At 45.2% G+C, this 25,345-nt stretch overlaps 1 protein-coding gene across 4 annotated transcripts in view, besides 3 other annotated features; it reads right to left on the reverse strand.

Moving 5' to 3' along the window:
* SLC7A1 (solute carrier family 7 member 1) overlaps positions 1 to 25,345 on the reverse strand; it is an 86,275-nt gene that overhangs the window by 50,547 nt on the left and 10,383 nt on the right. The gene's annotated exons all lie outside the window — the stretch shown is intronic.
* Positions 7,731 to 8,236: an enhancer, noted in NCBI's record as "H3K27ac-H3K4me1 hESC enhancer chr13:30141828-30142333 (GRCh37/hg19 assembly coordinates)". NCBI's record gives its function as "activates a minimal SCP1, AML or CMV promoter by ChIP-STARR-seq in naive H9 embryonic stem cells {active_cell/tissue: H9 hESC(naive)}" and the evidence as "EXISTENCE:reporter gene assay evidence [ECO:0000049][PMID:30033119]".
* Positions 13,392 to 13,511: an enhancer, noted in NCBI's record as "active region_7520". NCBI's record gives its function as "activates an Ori minimal core promoter by ATAC-STARR-seq in GM12878 lymphoblastoid cells {active_cell/tissue: GM12878}" and the evidence as "EXISTENCE:reporter gene assay evidence [ECO:0000049][PMID:35858748]".
* Positions 20,183 to 20,688: an enhancer, noted in NCBI's record as "H3K27ac-H3K4me1 hESC enhancer chr13:30154280-30154785 (GRCh37/hg19 assembly coordinates)". NCBI's record gives its function as "activates a minimal SCP1, AML or CMV promoter by ChIP-STARR-seq in primed H9 embryonic stem cells {active_cell/tissue: H9 hESC(primed)}" and the evidence as "EXISTENCE:reporter gene assay evidence [ECO:0000049][PMID:30033119]".

Consider the following 25,345-nt stretch of genomic DNA (forward strand, 5'->3'; position numbering starts at 1 on the left):
CGCCTCGGCCTCCCAAAGTGCTGGGATTACAGGCGTGAGCCATTGCACCCGGACCTTTTTTTTAAAACTCTTACTTTTTCATAATAACACAGCTTAAAACACAAAACATTACACAGAAGTACAAAAATATTTTTTATGTCCTTATTCTATAAGCTTTTTCTATTTTGAATTTTTTTGTTTTTTTTTACTTTTTCAACTTTTTTCTTAAAAACCAAGATGCAGACAAACACATTAGCCTGGGCCTACACATAGCCAGGATGATCAATGTCACTGTCTTCCACCTCTACGTCTTGTCCCACCGGAAGGTCTTCAGGGGCAGGAACACACAAGGAGCTGTGATCTCCTGTGATAACAATGCCTTCTTCTGAAATACTTCCTGAAATACCTGCCTGAGGTGATTTTACAGTTAACTTTTCTTGTAAGTAGGACTACACGCTAAAATAACGATAAATAGTATAGTAAATACCTAGTATTTACATATATACATAATATATACATACATATATTACATTAATTAATTATATTACATTAATATATACATATATATTACTATGTATGTATGTATTACTATTACATAGTAAAAACCCAATAACACAGTCATTTATTATCAAGGATTATGTACTGTACCTAATTGCATGTGCTATACTTTTAGATGGCTGGCAATGCAGTATGTCTGTTAACCCCAGCACCACCAAAAACACATGAGTAACGTGTAGCAGGACAATGTCACAAAGGCTAAGACATCAATAAGCAACAGGAATTTTTCAGATCTATTATAACCTTATGGAACTACTGTCATAGATGAGGTCTACGATCAACCAAAACATCATTATGGGGCTCATGACTGTATATTTACAGTGGACACCTGGCAGGCCAAGAGAAAATCCGGGCATAAAATAACCCCAAAATATCAGAAAACATATCCCACTGAACGATTTATAAATCAAAAGGAGTCAGGTCTTTCCACTAAGTACACTTATAAGAACCACTAAAAAAATCTTTATATTTATTTTATTAAACATAATGCCCAACTTTTTGGCAACTTACAAAGCGGTTTCGCCTGTTCTTATCCTATTCTTCACTCAACAGTTATGTACTGAGTGCCAGGTGTAGTTCCAGAAACTGGGGATGCAGCAGTGAACTAACTAGACCAAAATCCCCATCTTTGAGGAGTTAATGTTCTATTAATGGGAATGCCTCTTCAAAAACTAAGAACGGACCAAACACTAATGACGGCAGCACACTTCTCATCTCCTAAAGTAACTGCATGAAACAAGGAGAAACAGAATGAACCCCAACTATACACACAGGTGCTCCTTCCCAGCAGGAGGTCGACGTCACAGTTAGTGGTGACGCGCTGAGGGGGTATCAAGAATGAAGCTACAAGGGACCACAGTTCAAGGCAGTGGGGAGAACTCTGTGAAGTCAACCAATAGCTACAACCAATGATTCTGGTGACAGTCAAGCCCTTTGGGATGGCCAGATTCCTGTGGAACAGCCCAGGCAGCTCCCGAGGGGATATGTCGGGGGTGTCAGAGTGTTGTAAAAAGAGGGGGTTTCTAGTCTGAAAAGGCAAACTACAATTAGTTTAATTTATCCTTTGACATAAATATTGTCTTGAAATTTCCATGAGTTTTTTGTTAAAAGCATTGGGCTAAGAGACTGAAATAACTTTTCTGTTCAAGGAGAGTGATGGAGGACAGAAATCAAAACCTAATGTGCACAATAAAGACCTCAGCGTCCCTGGAACCACAAGGGCAGGCCCCAGGCATCACCGAAGAATCCAGAACTGCCCTCTGAGGCTCTCGAGGTCTGAGGCCCTTCTGCCCCTTTTGTGATGGGCCCCACACATGGCACCACCGGACTGCATCAATGGCTGACCATCCCAGCGGCTGTTCTGCAGACACACTGAAAGCTGCAATTCCCAAAGGGTTTTCTGGACCACAGAAACGGGGGCATCCCCTCTGTCCTTGAGCCTTCCAGTCCTGAAAGTCCAAATCTTAGATTTATCCAGACTCTTGTTAACTGCAGTAATACAGAGTAATGGCAAGGCTCACAAATGGATGGTACTAGAAACCAAAACTGTCAAGTATCACGTTCCCCTGCATTCCTGACGGACCCACACTTCCTGACTTCCGTAGTTCCATCCCAGCATAGCATATTCTCAGCCTGCCAGTTTCCCAATGATCACGCCCTGTCCTTCACCTGATGACAGTGAATGTTCCAGCTGTTACTCAACAGTTCCCAGGCAAACTCATAGAATGGATTCGTCTCCACGTGAGAATGTCAATAGTTCTTCCCCTACTTTCTTTAAGATTATTTCATTTTATATTTCACATTGACAGACAAAATTGTATGTATTTACTATGTACAACATCATATTTTAAAGTGTATACACAGGTTGGGTGTCTCTGATCCAAAAATCCAAAATCTGAAATGCTTCAAAATCTGAAACTTTGAGCACCAACATGATGCTCAAAGGAAACGCTCGCTGGAGCATTTTCAGTTTCAGACTTTTTTGGATTAGGAATGTCCAACTGGTAAGTATAATGCAAATAGTTCAATCTGAAAAAATCCCAAATCCGAAATGCTCCTGGTTCCAAGCATTTTGGATAAGGTATCCTCAACCGGTACACTGTGAAATGACTGAACCTGGCCAACTAACATATGCATTACCTCGCACAGTTATCATTGTTGTGGTATTCTCCTAATTTCTAATATCTGTCATGGTTCCACTGTTATTTGGAACCTATACCAGTTCCTGTCCAATCCCTGAGGCAGCAATAAAATGTAAACGCAAAAGCTGTTGAAAAGACCACACAATCTATATAATATTTGTGGTTCTATAATACTTACAAATGCTAAAGGAAATGTGGTCAAGGAAGAAACAGTAAGATATTTATCCTACCTCCAGCCCTTCAATAATTAAAATTACTCCAGCTCATTTTGCACCCAGGAAAAGACCATTTGGCTCAAAATTGCATGATTCATCCTTCCTTTGAGATGCAAAATACTCTGAGAAAAGGCTACAAACTCCTTCTGTGCTGTGCACTGCAAAAGGCTAGAGAAAGCCATTCTAACCAACTGGTGTAAATCTAATGATGGCTCCAAAAGGGGCAACGAGAGAGGCCGGGAGGACAGAGTCGGGGGCTGCAGTGCAGTGGCTCTCAACTGGGGGTGACTCTGTCCCTGAAGGACATCTGACAATGTCTGGAGACATTTTAGGTTGTCGCAATTGAAGGATGGTGGTCAACTAGCAGGCAGAGGCTAAGGATACAGCTAAATCCTACCATGCACAGGGCAGTTCCCTCAACAAAGAATGATCCATGATGTGCCAAGGTAGAGAAAGCCTGCCTTACCGTGTGCAACGGTGGACGGCAAAATGTTCTACAAATTTACTTAAGTGGGTTTTTTGATGTTTCACTATTTAAATTGTAATATTAAAAATTACAAATATTGTCTGCAAAATAGGCACAAACATATTTACAGGAAAGCGAAACTCTGTCATCACGCCCCTGGAGAACACCCTCGATGTCCCTGAACCAGATAGGAGAATAACTAAGAAGAAACAGGGGAAGAACAGCAGTAAAGGATGAAAAGACGTAGGAGACGAAGACAAGTTTCCCATCGCAATGAATCCAGGCTCTGGTTTCTAAGAGTGAAACTGACAGCTTGTCCAACTGTTGGGGATGCCTTCGCCCTGCAGGCAGCATGGAGAAGATGGGCAGCTTGAAGAGACGGGACTGCCAGCACTACCCTGTGCTGTCCATGGGTCTCCCAGCACATGCAGGGATACCCATCCCCACTTTATGGATGAGATGCTGATGCTCAGGAAAGGTAGCTCAACTCTGAAACTAAGGCACCACTGCCAATTTATTAAAAAGTCCTCCTGTCACAAAAAAGACAGGGTTTTGGTGCTCCTGGGGGAAGGCCATCTTGAGCCGGTGAGAGGCAGTTTTCACCATGGGGAGGGCAGCTTCTCTCCAAGTGATGCTCTGCCGGCCAATGAGAATTTAAAAACACCAAGTCCTAAGCTCGGAGAGCTGGAAGGACCACACAGTCACGGAATGCCAGAATCCTCTCAAGATGGTAAAAGGAAAACCATGACTAACACAGGAAAATAGTGGGGAGAAAGAGGAAGGGAGGACAAGGGCTGGAGGAAGGGGTGGTCTGGAAGAATACACTGATTTTCCACTCAGTCATTTCCCGCCTTCCATTTGACATGCTCTCACCAACTATCCTGCACAGCTCACCTCTGGCTCAGCCAACAATAAATGCACCCGTGAAGTCAGTTATAGGCCCACTGACAATAATAATAACAAAGGCTAACACTGCTATTAAGTGCCTACGATGCACCAGTGCCCTCTCCTAAGGCACTTCTTCTTAAATGAGTATGTAATCTCATTTAATACTTAAGCCAAGCCTTTGAAGGTTATACAGCTGTTACAATTGCTTCACATGTGAAAAAACCAGCTGCATAAAGTAGGTTCTATGAAGCGGAATCTCGGCTCAAACCTCAGTGTGTGCGTCTAACTCTAAATCCACGATGCTCCATTATTTTCAATACTACTGAAACTCTATGCCAGACTTATAATAGCTCCCCTAGGGCAAGAGCCATAATGAAATTATAGTACAAGTTTAATTAGATGCAAGGACGATCCTCCCACTTAGCAAATGCAGTCAGAGGCAATGGGATGAGGAGGCACAGGTCCTGAGGAAGACATTGATATCAATCCCTGCTCAACCATGGACTAGCTGAATAAGCCTGGGCAAATTACTCTGAATCTCAATATCCTGCCTTCTCCAATGCAGAAAATACTGCTACATTCACAGAATTATTTAAGAAAATAAATAGAGATTACATATATAAATATATTAAGCACTTTTCAAAAGAAATACATTCTTAGATAATTTCTTTGAATAAATGACATGCTTCCAGAAATACTTTCCCTCCATTACATTCTGTTCTTCAACTGCACTGGCTTGTAGCTGGCATTCTGAAATTTCTCTGCCAAATAGCTAATAAACTACACAAAGAGATAAATGCAGCCAGGGGGAGCTGCTATTTAAAGAAATCCTCTAGTTTAAGTGAAGAATTGTTTGATGTGTGAATAATCAGCTCTTAATTAATGGTTTGTCAATATTTTTAAAGAATTATCTAATTAATGAGCTAACTGGGCAGACTGTGGCATCCATCCTGAATTAGGATATTGATGTTTCTGTCTGCCAGTGACTTAACCCAAAAGAGTATAAAATACAGACCTTTCCAGTGAGGAGGTGACTATGTTACTGAGAAGATAAGAGAGCTGCTCATGAAGATGCATGAGTACAATACAAACAATACAAATACAATACAGCAGGGTAATCTCAAGATGGCCAGCAGAGAGAGAAAGGAGGCCTGGGGAGTACTTCAGGGCAGGGCCAACAGACCCAGCAGGCGTTCCCAGAACAGGGCCTGGAGGAGCACAAAGGGTTCAAGGAGCACCAGGGCATTGGCCTCCCAAGAGGTGGGGAAGAGGGGGCCTGCTGTTGATGGTCTAGGCCCACCTTCTCCAGGACCTCTTATAGGTCTATGACGGTCTTCCTTAAACACACTTACACACTTTGGTCCACACTTGTACACTCTCCAGTGACTCAGTAAATCTGATCCACATACCTTTATACTCAGGATCCCTTTCTGCCATCTGCCAGGACACAGGTGGATCTCAGTCCACCACACACAAAAAGAAGCCTCTGTGCACCTACTTATGCCCTGGAGAAAAGCCCGGGAAAGACAGTGTCCCTCAAACATGCCCGGTGGGCTCCCCCAGGATGCAGACAGTAGCCCACCTTACCATTTCCCTGCTCCCAGTTCTCGGGCAGCCTCTTCAAGTTATCCCCATCCTGCTCCTCTTATCCAAAGCTTCCTAACGCAGCAGCATCTATACAGAGAAGGGATCCTGCGGTTCTGGGCCAAGGAACCATCACCCTGTCTAGACTCTCACACCTCTCAAAAGGCAGTGAGTTAGATCATTACTAACCCACCTCTTTGCTGAGTCAAAGCCAAAGTTATTTATCCTTTCTGGGGCCTAAGAGATGGTGTGGACTGTTTCGCCAAAACCCAAGAAAAGGATGGCAGCAGCGATGGTTGTACAACAATGTAAATGTAGTTAATGTGATTGAACTGCACACTTAAAAATGGCTAAGATGGTAATTTTTGTTCTGTGTATTGTCCCACAATTAAAAAATACTTACAATTCAAAACGGAAGAACAAAACAACTAAGAAGATTCCTCAAAAAGTGCACAGAGGTACAATACAGCAATTCCATTAAGGTCAATGCTCAAGATAAAGGAAAGCAAGTGTCCACATGAAAATGTACACCAATGTTCACAGTAGCATTATTCATAATAGGCAAAAAGCAGAAACAACCCAAACGTCCATCGACTGCTGAATGGATAAACGAAATGTGGTACATCCAGACAAAGGAATATTATTCAGCCATAAAAAGCAATGACATTCTGACATATGCTGCAACACGGATGAACCTTGAAAACACGATGCTAAGTGAAAGAAGCCAGACATAAAGGGTCACATTCCGTGTCATGCCACTTATATGAAATGTCCAGGATAGAGATAAAAAGGAAATAAGTGGTTGTGTACGGCTTGGCTACGGGTGGGGAATGACTGTTAATGGGTACGAGTTTCCTTTTAGGGGTGACGAAAATATTCCAGAATTAGGGCGATGGCTGCATAATCCTGTGAATTTGCTAAAAATCACTGAATTTATACTTTCAATAGGTGAGCTTTATACTATGTAAATCAGATTTATAAAACTATTTTTTGTAAAAAAAGTCAAGAGGAGCCCTATCCAAAGGGACCCCAGTATAGTTTTCCCACTAACCATGACAGGCAGATTTGAACTTGAACTTCTATTCAAGTTCGGTTGCTAAGGCAGCACTTTCTCCCACATACTTTAATTCTGCTTCAAGTCAAAACTCTACCACCCCACTCCCCTAGAAATCAATCATCATGGCTCCAGTTGCCGTTGGTAAGAGGCTCTCCACTCTACTTGCACAAGCTATTTATTACATGTAACCGTCATTCTGCTTTGAGAGTTTCACGAGGGTGAAATTAGCTCCTATTTGATAAACTCTCCCTACAACTGCCGCCTCATCTTCTGGTGTTCTGTTACATTGCAAATACAAGCTCCTGTTTTAATACGCAGCTTAAATATTTCATGGTGACAGGGCGCAGAATAATAAAAATGGGGCAGGTTGCAGCATTTTTTGGTTTAAATAATGCCATACACGTGGTTTTTAAGCTTTTAGGTCAAAACAGGGTGTGGGGGAAGGGAAGCCCTCTCACTCTGTGGATACCTATGGTCCAGGATCTCAAAAAGAATAGGGTGGCTTACATAGGTAAGCAGAAGAGTAAAAGCTCATCAGGCAGTCAAAATGGAACAGTCTGTTAGCCCAGCCCAGTATTTCCTAAGGCCATCAGGGCTCACTACCAGGGCAAAAAAGTCATCCGGGAGGATAGGAAAAGACATGCCCAACTCAGTGAGTGGGAGACAAATTTTGGGATGCTTCCCACACTGAATGTTCGGAATGCTCAAAGGGCTTGGCCGCAGCCTTTTCTCTGCCAAGGCACACCTGACAGGTAAGCTCCTGCCACACTCCTGGGTGTTTACAAGCTGCTGGGTACAACTCCCTGCAGGCGGGCATCCCTCCCACGGATGCAACCCGGACAGTGCGGCAGTTCTAAAGAAGCCCACAAAGACAAATAAGTCTCGGGTGTGGCCAGGAGCTCGGGAGAGCAGCACAGGCTCAGGCTCAAGGAGACTGACAGCCAGTAATTACCAAAGGGAATTAAGCAAGCTCTTGCAAGTCTTGGCCTCTTTTTTTTTTGGACTTAATTTGTTCTCCTGGGCCTAAATCACTAGCTGTGTTGCTGGAACGTGCATGCCCTTGAGGGTGAGGTGGCCCTAACTTCTAGGAGGGATTGACTCCAAAGAGCTCCCACCCAGGGGACAGCTCTTCACAGAGGGGCAGGGTGGGCAGGCACCCCACATGCCTGGCACCTGCCAGTCAGGACTCCATCGAAAAAATGGCTCTGCCCTCTTGTTTTCTCCTCTAAACTTACACAAAACTTCTCAAAGTGCTGAGAATATTTTCATCAATGTGAAATGCTCCCAACAGGCTACATCTAAAACGTGGGATAATCAAGGAATGTGGTGTTGGGGAGGAGTGAGCTGATCTAATCCACTCCAGACCACAGTCTACCCCGTACCTCTTCTGTGAGGTTCTGCTCTGTGTGGTATGGACACTGTCCCTTATAATATTTCTCCTTAAAGGAATCCATCTTTTAATAATTTAGGCAAATTTTTAAAAAACCACGACGATGTATTACTCTCATAAATGGAGCACCACCAAAATTACCTGGAATCAGGTCTTAAAACTCACATCCACCACTCAGCCTGCGAGAGCCAACTGTTTCCTGGAGGGCCCCGCGTAGCTACAACTATGGGTAGTGAACTCTTAAGGTGCTAGTCATCTATTTTTCCTAATACACATTAGAACTCACATACCATTAAAATAAAAACGCATGTGCATTCCCTAAAATCACCTTGCACACAGCAGTGCACAAAGCACACAGGGGAGTGACGATCTAGTCCAGGAGCTGACACACAATGGCGCTTCGCCCACTTTTGTATTGACCATGAATTATGAATGATTTTTATTTGTAAAAGATTGTGTTTTTAAAGAAGGGGAAGGAGAAAAAAGAGAAAGAAGAAAAAGGAGATGATGATCATGAGACTGAGACCTTGTGTGGCCGCAAAGCCTAAAATATGTGCTACCTGGCCCTGTAGACCACTTGCTTGATAAGCCCTGATCAAGTCCGTCCCTTTATTTTACCACAGGGCAACTCAAGTCCTAATACACCAAGTGACTCAGACGCGCCTGAACACAGGTCTCCAGGCTTCTAAGCAAGCGAAGGAAGATTACCCAACAAGCCACCAGCTTAAATTCATCAAAACGGGTCTCTGTCCAGTCACTTTGATTCCATTTTAAGAACGGACTCCTATCTAAAGCAAAGAAAAATGTGGGCTGCACAACTCATCTGACTTGTTTTTGTCCTCAGCTCAGCCGAGGGCACCTGGCTCTCTGCCCCATGTCTGAAATCGCATCCTGTTTGCCCCCAGAGCCACTCCCTGCCTTCCCCACTACGAGGCCCACCTGTATGCATCCCGAGCTCTCTGGGCACTGGCAGGGAGGAGTGAGGCGAAGGAGGACCCTCTCTGCGGGCTGTCTCATTGGAGATCGGCCCTTCACCAAGCCAGGTGCAGCCTCAAAACCATCCCTTCCCCTCAGGTTGAGGGTGTTAGAAGTGGTTAGGGCCCCCTCACTACTCCAGGCTGTGAACCCCCTGCCCTGCCTTTGTAAAAAGTCACTTTATTTAAACTCACCTCAAACTGCCCATCCTGAGAATGCACTCTGCTCCCTGCAGGGCCCCTGATGGCAACAGCCTTAGGGGCAGTGAGCTCTGGATGTCTGCAGCTACCAGGCCCACTGCAAGTGTGAGGGCTTGACCTCATGAGGCGGGGGCTGCAATAATCACATGATAGCCCTCCTCCTTCTAAATCGAGCTCCTAAGGACACCAGATTAATCACCACTAGCCCATTCTCAAGAGTACCCACAGTGAGTCTAGTGATAGGTTACAACAACACATTGCACTATCAAGACAGATTTTTAAAAAATTCTTCAATGTAATGCAATAACATCTGAGCAGCTGGTATGCAGCAGACACTGTGCTAGGTCTTTCACATACCTAGAAAAGCAACCATCAGTCCTCATTTCATAAATGAGAACACTGAACCTCAAAGAGTTTCAGCGGTGCTTATCAGAGCTCTAGGAGGCTGAGGCAGGAGTCGCCCCAAAGGCCCGCAGATCCACCTCCATGGCTGGCCAGGCTCCAACCAGCAAACAAAGCACACGGCTGCTGGCTAGCCTGGCCACAGACGTCCTGGTCACATTACACAAATTAAAAGAAAAACAGAACCAGAAACAAAAGTTTTCTAACATCATACAGAACTCCCTGAATGCCACATTCACATAATCACATTACCTGGGTGGGCCAGCAGGTGAAATTACCTAGCAGCTCCCCACCTGCCTGTGAATCCTGGGGAAGCTCATTCACATGTTCCTCTGGCATTAAACGAATGGCTGCTCTGCTATGTGCAGTGGTCCCTCTGCTGAACCTCCTCTGCCCCGAACTCAGCATGGAGGAGGAGGCCACGGCCTGCCACGTGCCTGGGTACAAAGGCCTAGCAGTTTGCATCAAGCAACGTTATTGACTTGCCATTGAATAGAAAAATTCTTTCCATGTCCCATTTCATATTTGCTCACGGAACTGATGAGGAATCAGAAGCCCTGCCCTCGCTGTGTGAACTTGAACAAGTTACGCTATGTTGCTGTTTCAGTTCTACCATCTGAAGCGGGGATAATGACAGTGTCACCCACACCCGCCCCCCTACCTCCATCTTGTTCCTCCTGTGAGGCTCAAGAGACAGTGAGACAGATAGAAGTTAAACTCTCAGGTTAAACTGGATTCAAAACATGATGGGACCGGGCACGGTGGCTCACGTCTATAATCCCAGCACTTTGGGAGGCCAAGTCAGGCGGATGGATGGCTTGAGCCCCGGAGTTGGAGACCAGCCTGGGCAACATAGCAAAACCAAGTCTCTACAAAATACAGGAAAAAAAAATTAGCGAGAGATGGTGGCTTGTGCTTATAGTCCCAGCAACCAAGGAGGCTGAGACGGGAGGATCACTTGAGCCTAGGGAGGTAGAGGTGGCAGTGAGCCATGATCATGCCACTGCACTTGGGTCTGGGCAACAAAGAGAGACTTTGTCTCAAAAAAAAAAAAAAAAGATGGGCAAGTTATTTAATTTCTTTGAGTCTCCCTTTTCTCCTTTGCAAGATGAGGAGGTTTCAATGAATTTATATATGTAAAGCACTGCAGAGCACCTGGTGCATAGTATGCGCTATATGTTAACTATATTACTATTATTAGTTTCTTAATGTATAAGACATCTCATTAGTAGCCAACTTATAAAGTGCTGTGAAGATTAAGTACCCAAAATGATAACTGTTTTTGCCATACCATATGAAGGTATTAGGTTGGTGCAAAAATAATTGCAGTTTTTGCCATTAAAATAGCAAAAATTGTATTTTGTAATCACCAAAGTACTATACAAATATACAGTTTAAAAAATAAAATAAGGTTATTGTTTGATGTATTTCCATCTGCCCTGATTCAGATGGTGGAAGACTTGAGGGCTGTTGCCCAGAAATATTAAAATTGACTTAAAACTATTACAAACATAAACAAAATGGGAAAATTATAAAAACATAACATAATGACATTTTATGGCCGATTTTAATTTTAAAACATTTAAACATGTAAAGGTCCCAGGCTCTATAGCATCAACCACCAAAGCCCTTGGCGGTGCCTGAATGCAGGGTGGTGAAGAGCTGGCCATGGCTGTGGCCTTTCTAGATCGCAATGAAGTGACCATCAGACATCTGCCGGGGGGTCCTCACTCATGGATAGTCCCGCTCACCCAGAGGCCTTTCCATCTCAGTTTGGCTTTTGGGCCAAATTTGGAAGCATTACACTTCATTAAGGAAATGAAAGGCTTTTGCTTTACCTATTCCACCAGAGGGGCGGCTTCTCCAATTTCTTCCACTCTGAACTCAGGCGGAAAAGGATTGCCCAGTCCAGAGCCGCTTTCCTCCTTCCAGGAGGTCTGGACACTCACAAAGCCCAGTTATTTGTTTTGCAAACTGTGTATACATTGAATGGAAATGTTTGTTTTCCATATCCCGCTTTACGTCTCTAAAGACAAATGATTAAAGAATCATTTCAAGGGCATTTTTTGTTTTGCTCATCCCCTCCAACCTGCTTGTATTAAGCAGCCTCACTTCCTGCCTTTTAACTTACATTTCTGTCCACCTATCATCCACTCTTCTTTGTTGACCTTTGCGTGTACAGTGTTGCTTCAAAAACCTTCAAAGGAAAGGTCAAAGTGAAATGTCACAAGGGAAGCAGGCCTGATGGCCAGTGGCCAAGGAGGCACCAATGCCCAGGTCTGAGGCTGCCTGTGGCATGCATGACACTGCCCCAAAACGCAGGTGGTGAGGGTGCAGCGGCCGCCTGTGGGTCCCAAGCACGACTCCAAGTGCGACACGCTGTCTAGGCCATCTGGTCCCACACCAAGTCACATCTGTGCCCAGAGAAGCCCAGTGGACCAGTGCGGGCCCCCCAGCCCTCAGGGCAGAGCCAGGACGCTTCACACAAGAGTCACTCATTGGATTTTCTACTCCACGCACACGCTGTCAATAATGGCAGGCGCCACCTAAAGGGGCAGGTGCCAGTGTAATTTAACAGGGGAGAAAAAGTACAGAGGCCACCCAGGAGGATGCTGGAAAGACAGAGGGTGGGGAGTGGGAAGAAACACTCAGGACCCGCGGCACCAGGGCGTGGGACTAGAACGAAAAGCAAGAAGACCATGTGAGGGGCAGGGGAGGAAGGACTGGCCGGATGCCATCAGTTATCATCAATATGAAGGGAATGAGCCCAAGGTAACTCTGAAATCCTAAACTTGGATTTGGAAGCACTGAATCTGAGCTGAGGGTGGCCCTCAGTAAGGCACTGTGGCCCTACCGCTCTGGTTCCCCCAGTCGTTCTCTGCCCTAGTTTGTAATCTACAAAGTGATCAGAAGCTCATAAAACATGGGCACGAGCACTACAGTTGACCAGCACTGGGCGGGGAAGGTGATCCTGGGAAACCTGCATGGGACTGTGCACACCAACCACACCAACCAGAAGCAGCCAACACACACAACCGCAAGGGCCAACTCAACATGGTAATCAACATCTAAAGCTGCACAATTTGATGGAGGAAAACTCCACTTGGAAGGGATAAGTGGTCCAGGAGAAACAGAGACAGAAGCTCAAAGCTGTCAGATCTGCCACAGACAAGTGGCTGGTAAATACAAGAAACCTTTCTTGAAAATGCAGATAGCAAATAATCTATCCTGGAGAGAATAATGTCACGAAACATGAAAAATGTAAATGGTTTATTTGTGCTCTAAAAACACAATGATTTAAACTGAAGGTCACTCAGGACAATATTGTCATCAAAAAATTCTTTGGTGATGACATATATCTGATAAAATATTTATATTCCTAAATGACAGTCAAAATATCCTCGGATCAAAAAGCAGTCTTGCCACATGTCCTGTGTCCAACAGAACAGATAGAACTATCTGGCAAGCAGGTGGGGCTGTGAGAATCTGAAACGAGGAACTTGGATGTGGAGCACACCCAGAGGCACGTGTTGCCGGGAGTGAGATCCCTGGGAGAAAAGAAGGCAGCTGTTACCAGAATCGCGGGGAACACCACACTCTGGCAGCTGAAGGAGGAAGTAGCACACAGATGATGGGGAGGTGCAATTCTAGAGTCCAAAGGCAGACGGACTTCTCTAAAGCCAGAGAGTGTCTGACTCTGTGTGTCTGCCTTAAGGCCCACATCGTCCCCTTTCAAAGTGCACCAGGAGCCACAAAAGACAATGTGACTGGATGGTAACTTAGCAAAGAGCTGTCAGATCAAATACAGGACTGCCCAGTTAAATCTAAATTTCATGTGAATGACCAATAATTGGTTAATGTAAGTATGCCCCAAATATATCACAATGATGTCCCAAATATTGCCAACAAATAATCTTTTAGTATAAAAAAGTTATACTAAAAAAAGTATCCATTGCTTATTTATAATTCAAATTTAACTGGGCATCCAGTATTTTTATTGCTAAACCTGGTAACCCTGGTTTGGTACTGACAGCTCAGGCCTCAGGCCTGAACACCTCCCCTTTGCCCAGCACCTTTCTAGCCGCAGACCATGAACCCTGACTTCCACAGGCATTTCTGCGTACCCAGCTACTAACAAGCAATGACTCCATTCTTTGACAAGCTCTCTCACATGCTGAAAACAAAGAAAGCCTCCTTCAACAGACCCAGAAAATTAGAGAATCTGTAGAAAGGAATGGCCAATCGTATTAAATGTTTCAGAGACACCACAGGGGGTGAGGACTGAGACAAAATCAGGATATTGTCTAATTCAAGAGAGAGGAAATTGAAATTGTGAGCAGTTTTAGTAGAATAGTAGGAGCTTAGTTTACAAAGGGATGAAGATAGATGGTAAGAGTGTGACATTCTCTTTCATTCACTTAATCATTAAAAAACAGGGTTCTTGACCAACTGCCTGTGTTATCACTCTAGCTGTGGGAGATGCCTTGCAACTTCCAGAAAGGCCTACAGAGCTCCCCATTCAGAGCTGAAAGTACATTTTTTATTAATTTTCACCAAATATCACTGACGCTTAATGTTGCCTAGTGCTCACGTGAACAAGAACACGAACTCATCTGTGGGAGTTATGGCCCATAAGGGCAAGAACCTGGGAAAGTCAGTGCCAGCACCTGTAGGAGCTCACCCAATACCTGTGGAACACATGAATACATGAATGGAGGCTGTCTTCTCAAAGAGCCTGTTTTGAAATTTGAAATCTTACATAAAAATGGAAAGCCAAGGTCTAGGGTAAACCTTAACATTTCGTAGCACTCACTGGAGCAGCTAATGCTTTTTTTTTTTTTTTTTTTTGAGACGGAGTCTTGCTCTGTCACCAGGCTTGAGTGCAGTGGTGCGATCTCGGCTCACTGCAAGCTCCGCCTCCTGGGTTCACGCCATTCCCCTGCCTCAGCCTCCCAAGTAGCTGGGACTACAGGTGCGCGCCACCATGACTGGCTAATTTTTTTGTATTTCAGTATAGACGGGGTTTCACCATGTTGGCCAGGATGGTCTCGATCTCCTGACCTCGTGATCCACCTGCCTCGGCCTCCCAAAGTGCTGGGATTACCGGCATGAGCCACCGTGCGTGGCCAGAGCAGCTAATACTTCTTTACTTTTTAACCAGTCTGTCAGCAGAGGATTATTTGCAGCACAAATCACAAGTATCTGTCCTGGGCCCAAACCAAACAAATGAACAAAAACACCTGTTCTACCTAATGAAGCATATGCTAAGATTCACAAAAATAAAGCAGAGAAGAAAAGCTACCACCTCCTAAACTCAAGCTAATCTTGTTCAGAAGGCACTTTTTCTAGGCCCCTTTGTGTTACCGTTGCAACTGTTCTTTAGTTACAGGAGCATTTAATCAAACAAACACCTAAGAACACCATGATTTTCTTATTTATATATAAAGGTATTATTCTACCCGGTGCCAATTTCTCTTGCTCTGTGCTGGAAGAATGCCCAGGCAGATCTTCTCAAAACAGTAAACTCAAACAACAAAAAAAGAAGAAGACATAGTTTTAAAAGCCGAGTGCTGTATACTGCCTCTAACTTATGATAAATCCCCAGTATATTTTGAATTTTTAAAGAGAAACCTTTACTTGTTTTGCTTCTGTAAACTTTCCTTTGTGCTAAAGGACTCAACTTTAGAATTTACAAACTTAAATAAGAGTCTGAACTAAAGATGTATTTAGCTCTTGGATATGCTATTAAGTATTACTTGCCATAAAACAAATGTGCCATACTTCTGCCCCCGAATCCCGTAAAATATCTACTTTTAGGTATTTTATGACACAGTTAACAGTGAGCCTAAAAGTAAGTTTACGTACAAACTAAACCAAAGGTTTTTCATACCAATGTCTAAAAAGTTTAGATTCCAAATGTAGTCTATTTTCAATACAGTACAAACTTTTTCAAAGTTGGCTCAAAGAAAGAGATTTCTGTCCCTGTTTGAGGGACATGAGTGCCCACTGTGGTCACCTGCCTCTGCCCTGCAACTTCCAGAAAGGCCTACAGAGCTCCCCATTCAGAGCTGAAAGTACATCTTTTATTAATTTTCACCAAATATCATTAATGTTTAATGTTGCCTAGTGCTCACATGAACAACAACATGAACTCATGGCTTGATAACTGGTGGAATTATCAAGAAATTTAGGCCACGTGTGGTAGCTCATGCCTATAATCCTAGCACTCTCGGAGGCTGAAATAGGAGGATCCCTTGAGGCCAGGAGTTTGAGAATAGCTTGGAGAACATAGCAAAGCTCTGTCTCTACAAAAACTATTCTAAAAAATTAACCAGGTGTGGTGGAGTGCACCTGTAGTCCCAGTTATTCAGGAAGCTGAGGCAGGAGGATTGCTTCAACCCAGGAGGTCAAGGCTGCAGTGAGCTGTGATCACGCCACTGCACTTCAGCCTGGGTATCAGTATGAGATCCTGTTTTTTAAAAAAAAAAAAAAGGAAAGAAAACAAAAGAAATTTAAAGCTTCCTGCAGGTAGGAAGAACCACACAAACTATATTCAGATAAGACTGAACAATTTTCTAACAGCAGAGAACTAGCTAATGCAACTGACATGGTGTTGAAATTGGGAATCAGTTACTTGCATTGTATCACTGTTTCTCAGGGTCATACACTCTCCCTACATTCCAAAGGCTGACACCAATAGTACCAAGTTCAAATCAAACCTATACTTGGTGGAGCTGCAGAAAGTGAGAGAAGGAGGGGACAGGACAGGATGTCTGGGCCATCCCGATGGTCCACTTGGTCTGTTCATTTGCTGAGCGGCCTTGTTCCGTGAGTGCCCTGTGGGCTTCCAGGACAACAGATGCACCATCTCTAGTGCCATTTGAAACTAAATGAAAGAATGAGGAGGAAAAAAAAAAGGAAACTGGTATCTGCTGCCCAACTGATAAATGCGCAGCTCTGTACTGAGAATTGGCCAACCATTGCCTCGATTCTCAGACACCCTGGAAGTTGGCACCTGGCAAGTGGGCAGAGGAAGGCCTGCAGCAGGTTCCTACAGCCGGTCAGCACCAGAGACCAGGCTAGAACCCAGGTCTGTCTGGCGCCAACACCTCTACTCCTCTTCCCATTCAGGTAGCTCTGGGTCAGAGGGGCCCTGGTCCTAGCCTGTCACCTCCATCACTGGTTGTCTTTTTTTAATCACCTAAATTTAAATACCATTACAGAAGTTTACAAATTGCTTTATCCAGAGTGAAACACAAGGTGAATTCTAAAATTCAAATGAAATTTGGCATAAGGTCTTTTACTGTAGCCTGAATCGGCAAAAGGTACAGTGAACTCAATGGTCGGATGGGGCAGGGGCTTCCTCTCCCTGCACCTCAGTAGCCACCTTCTCTCCCAGCCACTTTGTTGGTGAAGACGTCTGGGGCTTTTCTCCACACCTCAAGCTGGTGGCCAGGCTGGCATCCAGCTCTGACTCTGAACTCCCACCCAACTAGGTCAGGGTTAGCCAGAGCCAGGCGCCAGATTCAGCAGGCTCCCACAGTTGGAGCCAAATACACGAGTCAGCTCCAAGTACCTCGCTGGTGAGGGGGTTGGTGAGGCTGTGGAGGAAGCTGGATGCCCAGTGTAGGAGAAGTGACACTAACTGAAGAGTGGCAGTGTCTTCTGGGCGTGTGGCTCTGGGAAGTCCCAAGTAAAGGGGGACAGGTGGAAAACACACACTGGAGAGAACAGGGAAATCTGAAATTTGTCTCCAAGAGAGTTGTGTCCACGCTGGGGCTGCAACTTGCTTTGCAATGACGTGCAGAATGCAAGCCAGGCAGCTCTGACGGGCCTCTTGGCCACCAAGTTGTCCTGCTCCTCACTGAAATGCCACATAGCCTGTACTTGGACGGCCAAGATCACAAGAAATAATATCTTGGTCAACCTTAGTCGTCTCTGGCCGAGTGTCCTGTCTTTGGAGGAGCTCACAAAGCAGGCTTTGTGGGCTGGCATGCCCCATGACAGCATTTGCAAAAGATTTGTGATCACCCCAAGCACCGCTAGCCCCCGCGTGCTGGGCAACCAAGGAGAACCACGTTCTTCTGGAGCTCGAGACCCTCTCCTCCTCCACTCCCTCTGCTTGGGTCAGTTTGTCACCAGCTGTGGAAAGTCCTGTTTGCTTTTCATTTGTTCTAAAACATTTGCAAGTTCTGAGAAGGAACACGTGCTGACTTCTAGAGCTGGTCACTAAGTCCGTGGTTCTCCTTGCTGTGGCCTGTGGCATTTGAGACTCTGAGGGCATTTCTTACTCTCATTTTCGGGATCTTTCAGTCAACCCTCTTAGGAAGTCCTTGCCATCCCCAAACAAAAGCCAAGCCTTCTTAGGGGCTGGCAAATGAGATTTCCCCTCTCCTGTAGCACAACCCTTATCAGATTTCTGTCCGGAGAGCAGATATTTAAGACATCTGAACTTGGGCTGCACAACTGAAGTTTTTTTTTTGTTTTTTGCAAATCGAACTCTTTGCCATCCTTTGTCCTACTGCAAACCTTACGTGAACTCAGTGGCACAGCTGAGTGTGCTCTGTTCAATCCAAGGGCGTGTTATTTTAATACACACACATCTGCAAGTGTAGATAAGAATACCCTGTCATCGGCAGGATCACATCTGCTAAGGCAAACCTAAAGGACCTTGGGCAAACGTTGTGAGGCCCAAGAAAGGTGCCGAGTGTCCACCGTCTGTCCCCAGCTGAGTCTGCCCAGAGCCCAGCCGTGGTTCAAAAGCCCTGGAAGGGCTGCAGAGAGGAATGCAAATCTGGCACAATCTGTCCTGAACTATTTCTCCCTGGAGAGGACACGGCAAGCTACTGGTTCAACCGGGCACCCCGGGTAGCTCTTGCCCGGTGCCTTTTCACTGGGTACTCTGAGAGCTCCAAACCCACTAAGGATCCACCAATGCTGGAAAAGTGATCCCTCAATACCCCGGCTCCCTGTCACAGCCTGTCAAAAGCCACAGACTTTAATGAGTCCTCTTGTTCTCAGACCCAAGGCCTCTTTCCACAGCCCTGCCCTTCTCTCCGCAGGCGGGGCCTGGCAGCAGGCAAGAACTCTCGCTCTCACACATCTTTCAATATTGCCTTTTTCTTCATTCCGCTGGGGAAAAGTATGTCCCTCAGGAGGGCAGAAGAGAAACAGATACAAGTGGTGCCACCATGAAGGGTTTTCTACAAGAAACCTTTCAGGCAGCAGACAGCTCTCTCTAGATATCTCAACACAGAGCTTCGGCCAGACTCTGCTGTGGAAATGCTTCATCCTCAATTCAAGCTGGGTCTCTTTCCTTTGATGAAGCCTGTATATATTTTGATGTGTATGGCTCACTAATCCTTTTGAAAAATAACTTCTCTCAGGCTTCCTCCCTGGTGAGATAGTATGGAACTGAAACTTCTCATGGCCTATCCCGACATTCCAAACTCCACCTGAGGCGCCCCGCACAACAGGACACCACGGCCAGGGATCTGACACCAGGAAACGGCTGCCCCTGTCATGAATGGATAAGCATCCACTAGCAATTTTTTTTTTTTTTTGAGATGGAGTCTCACTCTGTTGCCCAGACTGGAATGCAGTGTTGCAATCTTGGTTCACTGCAACCTCCGCCTCCTGAGTTCAAGCGATTCTCTTGCCTCAGCCTCCCGAGTAGCTGGTACTACAGGCACACACCACCATGCCTGGCTAATTTTTTTATATTTTTATTAGAGACAGGGTTTTGCCATATTGGCCAGGCTAGTCTCAAACTCCTGACCTCAGGTGATCCACCCGCCTCAGCCTTCCAAAGTGCCACTGCACCTGGCCAGCATCCACTAGCTTTTCATCAGACCATGAAATGTTTGGTCCACGACTGCTCACTCTTTCCAGAGCTGCACTGGAAATACACTATTCTGAACGGCCCAAGTTCCTCCGGAGTATTCCTCTGATGGGGCACAAACCTGGTGGACCACAAGCATGCTGGTACCAAGTGCTTTTTATTTTTACAAGAGCCATTCTGCTCCTTCTGGTCGAACCGGTGCCCTGCTCCATGTTTCTGGGCTAACACAGGCAAAGTAACACTTCTCTACTAGAGGTCTCTGTCATCGTCCTCCTACCAGACCCATTGTTCCTACTAGATCTGATCGTGGTTGTTCCCACTCAACATCCACTTTCACAGCATGGTCACCAAACTGCTCAGAGCTCTTTGGCGGATCCATAATCATGGAATGTCCCTGACTTCCTGTTTAGGGCTGGAAACCTCACAGAGGGTAGCATCTTAGTGCAAGCTCTTCAGACCCCCAAGGCAAAAAATGTGGCCTGGAGAACCTGCCTCTTGCCCAGGATCACATGAGTCCATGGCTGAGCCTGTGGGGTGAAGGTCTCTCTAACTCCAGGCCGTGACTGCTGAGGGGCCAGTGCATCCAGGAACTGCCATGCAGCAAGTGTGATAAGTCCCCAGGAGGACTCCCGAGGCCAGGCAGGAGGGGACATGTCTGGGTTCTCAGGCTCCAAGGTACTTCAAGCTCTGTTAAGAGTCCAGGATTCCTACACCGTGCTTCCTCTCTGCTTTTCTACATTTATTTCTCAGTGGCTTCATAACTGCCTCCCCGTTTTGAGATCTATTCCATGTTACCCCTCTTCATGCCCAGACAATACATAAACACATGCGGAGAACACACTTTCAATGGCTGGCAGAGCCTCCTCCTTCATAGGCCTTTTTCACACCTGGAAACAAGTCTTAATTTCCTCACGTGGCTGCTTCACTAAACAATCAAGACATGTCTCCTTACCTGATTGATTTTCCCTCTCCAGCAAGGTGATGAGTGCTATAAAGCAGAGAGACTATTCCTGGGCCCAACTGCGAAGTTTCACCCATGGAATATGTTGTTAATCTTAACGCCTGCTGAGGCAAATGAATAATATGCCAGTTTCTAGAGACTGAAGGTGATTAAAAGCTACCCTCTACATTCCTGCAAGAGGTACCATACAAACGAAATCAGATTTCCCCAAAGAAGCAATGCCATGATGGGATTTTCAACAAGGCAATACACACACGGCTCAAAAATTCAAAAGCTACCCAAAGTCACAGGGTAAACTGCAAGTGCCCTCTATCCCCTGAACCCCACATTCCCACCACCGCCAGAGCCTCCCGGAGAAGAGCCAGCCTTGGCTCACATTTTACAGAAGTGATCTCAAGTTCTGAGTTTTAAAGAAAAATGTAAATGACATGTTTCTATGCTATTTAACAGAAATAGGATATTTCTAATGAACTGTTTAGCCTTCTAAGGGAGTTTATGAATTAATGAACCAGGCAACAGAGAAAAATAAAAATCACATACAACTGAGCTTAAGAACGTTCCATTCCCATGACATCCCGACCCTGCCCCCACCCTCGCTTCTCTCCCTGTGAGAAGGTACAAGAAAACCATTTTGATCAAGGAATGTTCTGGGAGTTTTCACAGGCGTTTGCAGAAAATACAGAAGCTTGGGACCCCTTCAAAGCCTTCCGAGAGACCCATCTACTTTGCTCTCTTCTTCCTTACTTTCAATGTCCCTGTGCAAACCCCCGTGCTAGGCATAAAGCTCTGAAGTAAACATAGGTCAGACACAGCCAAGGTTTCCCTGAATACTCGTGCCCAGCACCTTTGGGGTGACAGAGATGTGTGGGAGCCATGCTTCAGCACCCCGTTACCTTTAGCCAGCCACTTCTAAGACTTTTAAAGAACCAAATATAAGTCAGCTGCAAAGAGGCTTAAACACTACAGCATACAGCCAAGCATGCGCTGTCCCCTCTAAGTGGCATTCTGGTTTAAGGTCTTACGGGCAAGGGTCCCTGGAACTTCACCCCAGTGCTAGCTCTGGCAGCGCCATGCCTGCCCCTGAGGCACACCCCCAAGACAGGTTCATCTCCCACCTCATCTGCCCATTAATTAGAAAGCTCCTGACATCTGCCTCTTCCATTAAGAATTTCCTGAGGATGACGAACAAGTAGCAACCTCTCCTTCGCCCATTTCACCACCCCCAGCCTTCTGGAGGAATCACTTTGCATGTTAATTTACACCTACTCCTTTAGCGGCAAAATACCAACACATTTATGTGCAACCTCAGGAATGGGATTTTTCTTCTCGGAGAAACCTCCCTGAAGGCTGGGGCTTAACCCTTTACACACCAATCCTAATTGCAACTCATGTTTATTGCCCTCTCGTGCTAAGCCTGGCAAGGCGCTAAAAGCTTCAATCCTTAATATAACCTACAAGAGGGGAACTGTAAGTTTCTCCATTTTTCAAATGAGGAAACTGAGGCACAGAGTTGCATGTGGGTGTACAACACAGACCTCTTGAAATGAGGAGGGCTGCTTGCCACTCGGCTAATTATCCCTGATGGCAGTAGTTACTGAGTTCTTCCCTCTCTTCCATGGGTGTTCTGTCCTTGTCCTCACTGCCAAGCCCTCAGCTATCACTCCTTGCCGGTGCCAGAAGCCCCGCCTCTGCTGCCAAATTCACACATCCTATCTGCAGACGGCTGTAAAGCGATAACCAAGCTGGGCCGAAATAAGTGTACAGGCTATGACTGGGTCGCCACACCCCTGCCGTCCCAAGGCCACTAACGTAAACGGACTCTGGGACAGCAGCCTCTTCAGTTCAGTTGAAAAGATCATTTTGAGCATCCACTTCCTAGCAGGCACTGCTCTTGGTACAGGAGGCACAAAGACACATGCATCCCAGACCCTCAGGGAGATGTGGTCTAATGGGCAGATCAGGTCTCCCTGCAGTTGTTCCAGGTTCCAGCAGTTTTGGAGGTGCTTGCTACTCCCAGTGACCCTGAGAGCTGGTTAGAAATGCAGTCTCTCAGACCCCCTCCCTGAGCTCCCAAATCAGAATGTGCATTTCAGGAGATCCCCAGGGGAGGATTTGTATGCACGTGTGGTCTAGACAGTTTAAAGATACCCACAGTATGACCTTAGGATATGAAAGGCACTATTACATTATGCCAAGTACTTAACTTGCACACTCACTGAGATACGTTCCTTCTATCCTTACTGCCCACTCCTACTGCCACTTCTGCCCAATCCATATGACCTTAGCTACCTACACGCTCTTTAGATAGCAATGAAGGAGTAACAGTCATAATGAACAGGACTGTTACAAAATGCACCCAATGTACACAACTACAATGGAAATGTTTCCTGCTTTGTGTGCTACATTTCCAGAAACAATACGCTCCAGTTAGTCTTATCCCCAGGTTTAACTTTTCAACTTTTTATTTTACACAGCTTGCATCTTTAGGTGCAGGTCCCTCATTAGGTCTAGACCTGGCAGCGATGTGGCCTTCAGGCCCCACCCCAGAACTGTAAAGGAGCCCACACCCGTGCCCGCATGCACAGTAAAAGTGTGCCCCCACAGTTCTGTTCCTTCAAGGAAGTCTAGGAACAAGGGCAATTCCCAGAACTCAAATGTTTGAGTCACTGCTCATTTGGATATGGGGCAGTATTGCTTGCTCCCACAAAGCATCCGTGTTGAGAAACCCATGCTTTCCCTCTGTCCCTGCTCCCAAGTACCTCCCCAGGGTGGAATCGTGCTTTCTTCCTTCACACAGCAGGACACTTTGCTGGAAAGAGACTCTTGCTGGGACCTCTGTGGGTCAAGGCCAGCAGCTCTTAGTAGACTTCAACTCTTCCAGCAACTCAAACTCTATGCAGGGTGACTCAGCAAGACCTCCCTTGCAGATGCTCCACACAGGACCACTCATGGGCAACCAGGAGCCGCAGGAAAGTGACTTGGATTTGTGCAGAGAGCTTTCACCTCCCCTGGCCACTGCCCTACTCCAAATCACCCAAGAAACATGAGACGGCAATGCCCTCACCTTGACTCATCAGACCACAGAGTCTTTCAGTAATTAGGCCTGAATCCCAGCACAAATTAGATCTGATAATTTTCTAAAATTCTAATTGTATCAAACTCTGAGACCAGCAAGACAGACATTCTTCCCAGTTCAATAAAATTACTCACAGAACTAATGAGTGCTCTTGCTTAATTTCTCCCAAGATTGCCCTCTGGAAAGAAAGCAATCTGAAAAAAGAAATGTCTTCCAACAAAAGTTAAAAAAACAAACAAACAAACAAAAAACCTAGCTGCTGAAACTGTGAGGTTATAGATTTGTGGGGGAAGTGTGGTACACTTGCAATAACAGAGTCATCATTTATTTCAAACGTTAACATATATAACAGCATCAGATCAAGTTCATGAGGTTTCTTCTCAAATACCAACAATGGTGATGGTAATATTTGTAACTTTTTTTTTCTTTTTTTTTTTTGAGACGGAGTCTCACTCTGTTGCCCAGGCTGGAGTGCAATGGCACGATCTCGTCTCACTGCAACCTCCACCTCCTGGGCTTAAGTGATTCTCCTGCCTCAATCTCCCTAGTAGCTGGGACCCAGCCCTCTGCTAGGACTACAGCTACTCGGGAGCTGTACTGCGCCACCATGCCCAGCTAATTTTTTGTATTTTTAGTAGAGACGGGGTTTCACCATGTTGGCCAGGCTGGTCTCAAACTCCTGACCTCAGGTGATCTGCCTGCCTCGGCCTCCCAAAGTGCTGGGATTACAGGTATGAGCCACCACACCTGGCCAATATTTGTAACTTCTATATGAATTTTTAAGAGTACTGTAAAGTAAGCACTCTGAGTTCTCACAACAAATTTATTTTTATTGAGAAGCATAGTAAATAAAAGAAACTTCCCAAGAACAAGGACAGACATTTGCACATTGTTTCAATAAATGAGGCCATTTATCTTGTTCTAGTTCTGTTATGTCATTGTACCTTTGTTAGGCAGAGTCAATTCCCTTGATTTACAATTGTTTTGTGAATTATATACACAGACTTAAAGACATTTATTTTCTAAGAAAAAAAAAGAAAAAACATTCAAGCATTTCTTAAGCAAAAGTCCATCCAACCTTTTCAAGAAGAACTATTTAATGGTATGGCTGCTATTGTTAATATAGTTTCAATACCGTTCGATATTAACCCATAAGATTTAGTCAAAAAATAACATTTCTATGAGTATCTTTTCTCACTCTTCTTCCCCAAAATCCTTAACTCTTTCAGACAGGTTCTTCGTCGCATCACGCTGAATAAAATAAACTCAAAGAAAATCAGAGCACTGAAATTAACAAATGTATGGCCCATTTCTAAAAACTCACATACAGCCTGACCAGGCCACCTTTGGGACACCACTGTGTCAGGTTAACGAAGGACAGATACCCCAGTATGCAAAAGCAAACCACACTGGGGAATTCACACAGGTCTGCCCTGAAAACCTACTCACTTTCTTGGGCATCATCACAGAGAATAATGTCCCCTTCAGTCAGAAACTCCTAAATCACCACAAAAAGAAACCTTGACTCTTCAACTTTCTTTGCCCTAACTGGTCTGGATGGAGAATTGACTCCCATCCCCTAGTGCCAGCAGTGAACATGAAATTCAGGACA

Source organism: Homo sapiens, chromosome 13 (assembly GCF_000001405.40).
Source record: "Homo sapiens chromosome 13, GRCh38.p14 Primary Assembly".
Classification (NCBI taxonomy): domain Eukaryota; kingdom Metazoa; phylum Chordata; class Mammalia; order Primates; family Hominidae; genus Homo; species Homo sapiens.